The 6,468-nt window shown below is 45.3% G+C and overlaps 3 annotated features.

Annotated features, from left to right (window-relative positions):
• Positions 1,968–3,167: an enhancer, noted in NCBI's record as "MED14-independent group 3 enhancer chr6:17311541-17312740 (GRCh37/hg19 assembly coordinates)". NCBI's record gives its function as "activates an origin of replication core promoter dependent on BRD2, BRD4, P300/CBP and CDK7 cofactors, and independent of MED14, by STARR-seq in HCT116 cells {active_cell/tissue: HCT116}" and the evidence as "EXISTENCE:reporter gene assay evidence [ECO:0000049][PMID:35650434]".
• Positions 2,447–2,591: an enhancer, noted in NCBI's record as "145 bp enhancer 96/97 fragment used in the MPRA reporter construct; PK_construct_3102". NCBI's record gives its function as "activates an SV40 promoter by MPRA in HepG2 and K562 cells {active_cell/tissue: HepG2 | K562}" and the evidence as "EXISTENCE:reporter gene assay evidence [ECO:0000049][PMID:23512712]".
• Positions 2,514–2,524: a transcriptional cis regulatory region, noted in NCBI's record as "NFE2L2 motif; enhancer activity is reduced when this motif is scrambled". NCBI's record gives its function as "necessary for full MPRA enhancer 96/97 activity {active_cell/tissue: HepG2 | K562}" and the evidence as "EXISTENCE:site-directed mutagenesis evidence [ECO:0005528][PMID:23512712]".

Here is a 6,468-nt window from a genome sequence, read left to right as displayed (position 1 = left end):
ATTAGGTTGTCAGCATACGAACTTGCAGGGACACAAACATTTCGTTCCACAGCAATCTCCTTCCCTGGAATTCCCCTTTCTTCCTTACCTTTCAGTGTTGACATCTGAAATGCTAAGGACTCAGTTCCTTCTCATTGTCATTAACACTCATGCTGAAGGGGATCTCATCCAGTTCGAAGCATTTAAATACTGTCCTATCTTTAGGGCTCATACACAATAGGCTAGATTTTTCTACACACCACCCTCAAATCTCAGTCATTTAGAACAACAAAGATGTTTCTCTTTCACTGTAAAATGTCCGTCATGAATCAACAGGGGTATCTGTTCATCATGGTCGCTCAGGGACATGGTGAATCATACTCTTTTTTTTTTTTTTTTTTGAGATAGAGTATGGTTCTGTTGCCCAGGCTGGAGTGCGTGGTGCAGTCTTAGCAACCTTGGCCTCCTTGGTTCAAGCAATTTTCTGCCTCAGCCTCCTGAGTAGCTGGGATTACAGGCGCCCGCTCCCACAACTGGCTAATTTTTTGCATTTTTAGTAGAGAAAGGGTTTCACCATCTTGGCCAGGCTGGTGTTAAACTCTTGACTTTGTGATCCACCCACCTCGGCCTCCCAAAGTGCTGGGATTACAGGCGTGAGCCACTGTGCCTGGCCGAGAATCATACTCCTTTTTTTTTTTTGAGACGGAGTTTCACTCTTGTTGCCCAGGCTGGAGTACAATGGCATGATCTCAGCTCACCACAACCTCCACCTCCAGGGTTCAAGCGATTCTCCTGCCTCAGTCTCCCAAGTAGTTGGGATTACAGGCGCCCACCACCACACCTGGCTAATTTTGTATTTTTAGTAGAGATGGTGTTTCTCCATGTTGGTCAGGCTGGTCTCGAACTCCCGACCTCAGGTGATCCACCCCCCGCTTGGCCTCCCAAAGTGCTGGGATTACAGGCATAAGCCACCGTGACCAGCCCATACTCTTAAAGCTTAAGGATTCTGCCTGAAGTGAGACAGCCCCTTCCACCTTCATTTCATTGGCTATGGCAAGTCACATGGCTGTGCCTAACTTTAAGGGGGTAGACAAGAGGGTCCTACCATAATGGAAGGAGTGAACTAAAAATATTGGTGGGCCAGGTGCGGTGGCTTATGCCTGTAATTGCAGCACTTTGGGAGGCTGAGGTGGGTGGATCACCTGAGGTCAGGAGTTCGAGACCACTTTGACCAACATGGCGAAACCCTGTCTCTACTAAAAATACAAAAATTAGCTGGGCATGGTGGCACACACCTGTAATCCCAGCTACACGAGAGGCTGAGGCAGGAGAATCGCTTGAACCTGGAGGCGGAGGTTGCAGTGAGCTGACATCTTGCGACTGCACTCTAGCCTGGACAATAAGAGCAAGATTCCAACTTAAAAAAAAAAAATTGGTGAATAGCTTTAATGATTACAACAGTTCTCACAGTTTTGTCTCAGACCCTGACATCTCTGCTAAACTCTACACCGGTGGATGAAACTGCCTGCTTGGCATCTTCTCTTAGATACTTAATAAGCAATGTGGCCAGGTGCAGTGGCTCACGCCTATAATCCCAGCACTTTGGGAAGCCGAGGTGGGTGGATCACCTGAGGTCGGGAGTTTGAGACCAGCCTGACCAGTATGGAGAAACGCCGTCTCTACTAAAAATACAAAATTAGCCGGGCATGGTGGCACATGCCTGTAATCCCAGCTACTTGGGAGGCTGAGGCAGGAGAATTGCCTGAACCTGGGGAGCAGAGGTTGCAGTGGGCCGGGATCGCGCCATTGCACTCCCACCTGGGCGACAAGAGTGAAACTTCATCTCAAAAACAACAACAAAAACCTACTCTTTATTGAATGCTTATTACTTGCTTTGCTCTATGCTTTACATTATCATACTTTATGAGACATTTCCCCCATGACAGAGAAGGAATGGAGACTCAGAGAGGGTGTGTAACTCTCCTGAGATCACACAGCTGGCAAGTGGTAGAGCCTAGACCCAGTCCCAGGTCAGTCTGCCTCCAAGTTCATGCTTCTAGCCATCATACACTAGCGAATTTGTCCTGCCATGATTTTGGCAAAATACCGAGTGAGCAATCTATTAATGCACTCTTAAATTACAACCTAAAAGTAAGGAAGGATTAATAATTAACTGTTGCCATAAAGAAGAACTGGGCGGACCTAGAAGATTGTGAGCTTTAAATGGAATGGAAAATATATTTGGGAATTCGGAGGATTTTCAGTCTTCCATATTGGATCTAAAACCACCCAGATAAACATTTCTATACTTAAACAGTGACCTGATAACAAGCCCAGTGTGCGAAAATAACTCAGTGCTCTTGATCAGTCTTAAAGACAAACAAACAAGCAAACCTCAGGTCAAAGTGTGTTTTTGACCAGACTTTGACCTTACTGAACTAGGCTGGCTGAAAGGGCATTAGTATGTTGAATGTATCTTCTAAAATTGCTTCTGATCTCAGCTATTGGGTGATGTAACCGGAAAGTTCAGGGAGTGCTGCGTCATGCTGAGCATATTCTGTTTCCCTGGAACGAGGGCCTCATTGGCTCTGTCTTCTCCAAACAGCAACATGTCTTATTAATAGGGTTCTTTCTCCACAGGGCCATAGATTATTGATGGAGCTCACTGTTAGGCAAGGCCTCCTGTCACCCTAGACAACACAGCTCTTCAGCCTCACTTCAGCGGGCACAGATGTCTCCGTATAGCAGCCCACGTGCGTGCTCGCCCAAGGCAATGTGAGGGTGGCTGTCGTTCAAGCTGCTGCTCAAAGGCAGAGTGCCTTTTCTCAGGCTGAGTGAATAGCAGAGGTATCAGGTGAGCTTGAAAAGGGAGGGGAGGGACACTGGCAATTATTGTCATTGTTCTAGATAGACATCATTGCTGGATGTCCCTCAGGTTGGCCGGGAAGCTCTCGCTGGACCCCAAATCCTGATTGTAACCTGGCTGCATTAAAATACCTTCTCTTCAAGCTCTTTCTCATGTCTTTCTTCATTTAGGCATTTTATTACATGCAAAAATGCACTGAAATGCACAAAGCACCAGGTCTATTGTAAGATAAAGTAGGTTACCAAAGAAATGCTTGTTTAATTATTTTTCCTGTCTTCTTTTCATATATACTTTAAAAGCTCCTCTGATAGGAGTGTAGTAGGAGGGACTTGAACTAAAATTGTAGTGTTATTATAACTGAAGGAAGGGACTCCTGAGGTTACCTAGCCCAAACTCTTGGAAGAAACTTAAGACGAAGAAATAGACTTGCCCCAGCACATAATGATGAATACTGGTGGAGCATGAATTGAACTTGGAGCCTCTAGCTTCCCAGTCCCATGCTCTTCTCATCATACAGCCTGCTGGCTTCCTCTGAGCCTGGGCTCCTACCTTGTATTGTTAGGATTTCCTCTGTGCTCCTTAGATCTGGCTATTTTTCCTCTGGTGTATATCACAACTCTAGGAATTTGGACTCCCATCCTAGTATCTGGCAAGTTGATTATTAGGTTTAGAAAAAGCATCAGTCTCCTAAAAAGTTGGGTGATGAGTCACATATCATAACTATTTAACATATCCTACTCACATTTGCATTTCTGTTTTATTATTAAAGCTAATCTGTAGGCCAAGCGCAGTGGCTCACGCCTGTAATCCCAGCACTTTGGGAGGCCGAGGCGGGTGGATCACCTGAGGTCAGGAGTTCAAGACCAGCCTGGCCAAGATAGTGAAACCCCGTCTCTACTAAAAACACAAAAATTATCTGGGCATGGTGGCGGGCACCTGTAATCCCAGCTACTCGGGAGGCTGAGGCAGGAGAATCACTTGAATTTGGGAGGCAAAGATTGCCTTGAGCCAACATCACACCACTGCACTCCAGCCTGGGCAACAGAGCAAGACTCCATCTCAAAAAAAAAAACCAAAATAAAAAAAACAAATCTGTAATACGTCTGATACTAAGAAGTAACCTCTTGCGCAGATACATCCAGGGGCTCTGTCACTCATAACTTAACACACCAATTCCTATTATTCACAAATAAGCAACAGCCAAAGAAAGAGGAAGATAATTTATATTTTATAAATTAGACATTGGGATGAAAAAAAGCATTAAAGATAAATGAATTTATATTGGGGGGGAAAACTGTTAATGATGATCTTAAAACTTTGTTTTAAGATGACATCAAATACCTCTTATTCTTTTTACCAGAAGGTGGGGTCAAAGTCGCTGCCATTGAGTTTGGGTTGGGACTCACTTGGAATTGACAGAATGTGATGGAAGTGATGCTATGTAACTTCTCAGGCCAGGCCCGGAGAGGATGTGCAGCCTCCACCTTGTTGATGGGAAACATTTGCTTTCAGAGTTCTGGACTGTTCTGTGAAAAGTCGTCTAACAGCCCTGGGGCAACCATGCTGAGACACTATTGTGGAAGTGATCTTCCAGCCCCAGCAGTTCAGGCCGCCATTCTAATCATCCCACTGATTGCAGAGTAGACTCTAAAGAGCAGAGAAGATCTGTCCCCACTATGCCCTTTCTGAATTTCTGATCCACAGGCAGCAAGCACAAGAAAACTGCTGTTTCTGGCCAGGCGCCGTGGCTCATGCCTGTAATCCCAGCACTTTTGGGAGGCTGAGGTGGGTGGATCACCTGAGTTCAGGAGTTTGAGACCAGCCTGGCCAATATGGTCTCAACTAAAAATACAAAAAATTAGCTGGGTCTGGTGGCACAGTCCTATATTCCCAGCTACTGGGGAGGCTGAGGCACGAGAATCACTTGAACCTGGGAGGTGGAGGTTGTAGTGAGCTGAGATCACACCACTACACTCCAGCCTGGGCATCAGAGCGAGACTCCATCGAAAGAAGAGAAGAACAGAGAGAAGAGAAGAACAGAGAGAAGAGAAGAGAACTGGGTGCGGTGGCTCATGCTTGTAATCCCAGCACTTTGGGAGGCAAAGGTGGGCAGATCACCTGAGGTCAGGAGTTCGAGACCAGCCTGGCCAACATGGTGAAACCCCCGTCTCTACTAAAAACACAAAAATTAGCCGGGTGTAGTGGTGCACACCTGTAATCCTAGCTACTTGGGAGGCTGAGGCAGGAGAATCGTTTGAATTCGGGAGGCGGAGGCTTCAGTGAGCCAAGATTGCGCCATTGCACTCCAGCCTGGGCAGCAAGAGCGAAGCTCCGTCTCAAAAAAAAAAAAAAAAAAAAGGAAAAGAATTGCTGTTTCTATTTTTATTTATTTATTTTTAATTTTTTTTCGAAATGGAGTCTCACTCTGTCGCCCAGGCTGGAGTGCAGTGGAGCAATCTCAGCTCACTGCAGCCTCAGCCTCCTGGGTTCAAGTGATTCTCCTGCCTTAGCCTCCTGAGTAGTTGGAATTACAGGCATGTGCCACCACGCCCCACTACTTTTTGTATTTTCAGTAGAGACGGGATTTTGCCACGTTGGCCAGGCTGGTCTCAAACTCCTGACCTCAAGTCATCCACCTGCCTCGGCCTCCCAAAGTGCTGGGATTACAGGCGTGAACCACCATGCCCAGCCTGTTTTTATTTTTACACTACCAAGTTTGGGGGTGGTTTATGATACCTCAGTAAGTAACTGGAACAGTTACATAGTTCAATGCTTCTCTTTGCTTAAATTTATGATTCTTTATACCATGTTGCATGCTATTTTTATTTTGCCGCCTTTAGCGAATATCTTGCCTCACTCTCTGATGCACTTGCATGTTCCTGTAGCCTTTCTACAGTTTTTATGCTTGCATCCATATCAGTGTTAACTAACATCTCTTCTATGTCTGAAAAAAGAAGAATCTATAAACATATACTGGGTGCATCTCACTCGACCTGAGTTCATGAAAATGATTAAAATTTTACCATTACCATTGCAAATAATTCCTCTGGGATGATTATAAGAAAGATAAGTGATCTATAAAATAGTGAAAATGTTAATTTTAAGAAACCAGCTTCAGCTGGGTGCAGTGGCTCACGGCTGTAATCCCAGTACTTTGGGAGGCTGAGGCGGGCGGATCACGAGGTCAGGAGATCGAGACCATCCTGCCTAACAAAGTGAAACCCCGTCTCTACTAAAAATACAAAAAAAAAAAAAAAAAATTAGCCGGGCGTGGTGGCGGGTGTCTGTAGTCCCAGCTACTTGGGAGGCTGAGGCAGAAGAATGCCATGAACCCACGAGGCGGAGCTTGCAGTGAGCTGAGATTGTGCCACTGCACTCCAGCCTGGGGGACAGAACAAGACTCTGTCTCAAAAAAAAAAAAAAAAAAAAAAAAACCAAAAACCAGCTTCCACCATTTTAGTTACTCCTACTTTATTCTAATAGAGATTTGAAAAAGTCAGTTATTCAAAGACCTAGTAAAAATTAAGAACATCAAGGACGTGTTAGGAGTCGCAGACTGGCTATTCCACAGAAGCAAAATCCCAGCAATGTGTACTGAGCTTTTTATACAGAGGAAATGCCCA

The sequence above is a fragment of the Homo sapiens genome, chromosome 6, assembly GCF_000001405.40.
Source record: "Homo sapiens chromosome 6, GRCh38.p14 Primary Assembly".
NCBI lineage: Eukaryota > Metazoa > Chordata > Mammalia > Primates > Hominidae > Homo > Homo sapiens.
Note: the sequence above shows the minus strand (reverse complement) of the source record. Positions and strands in the feature narration are given on the sequence as shown.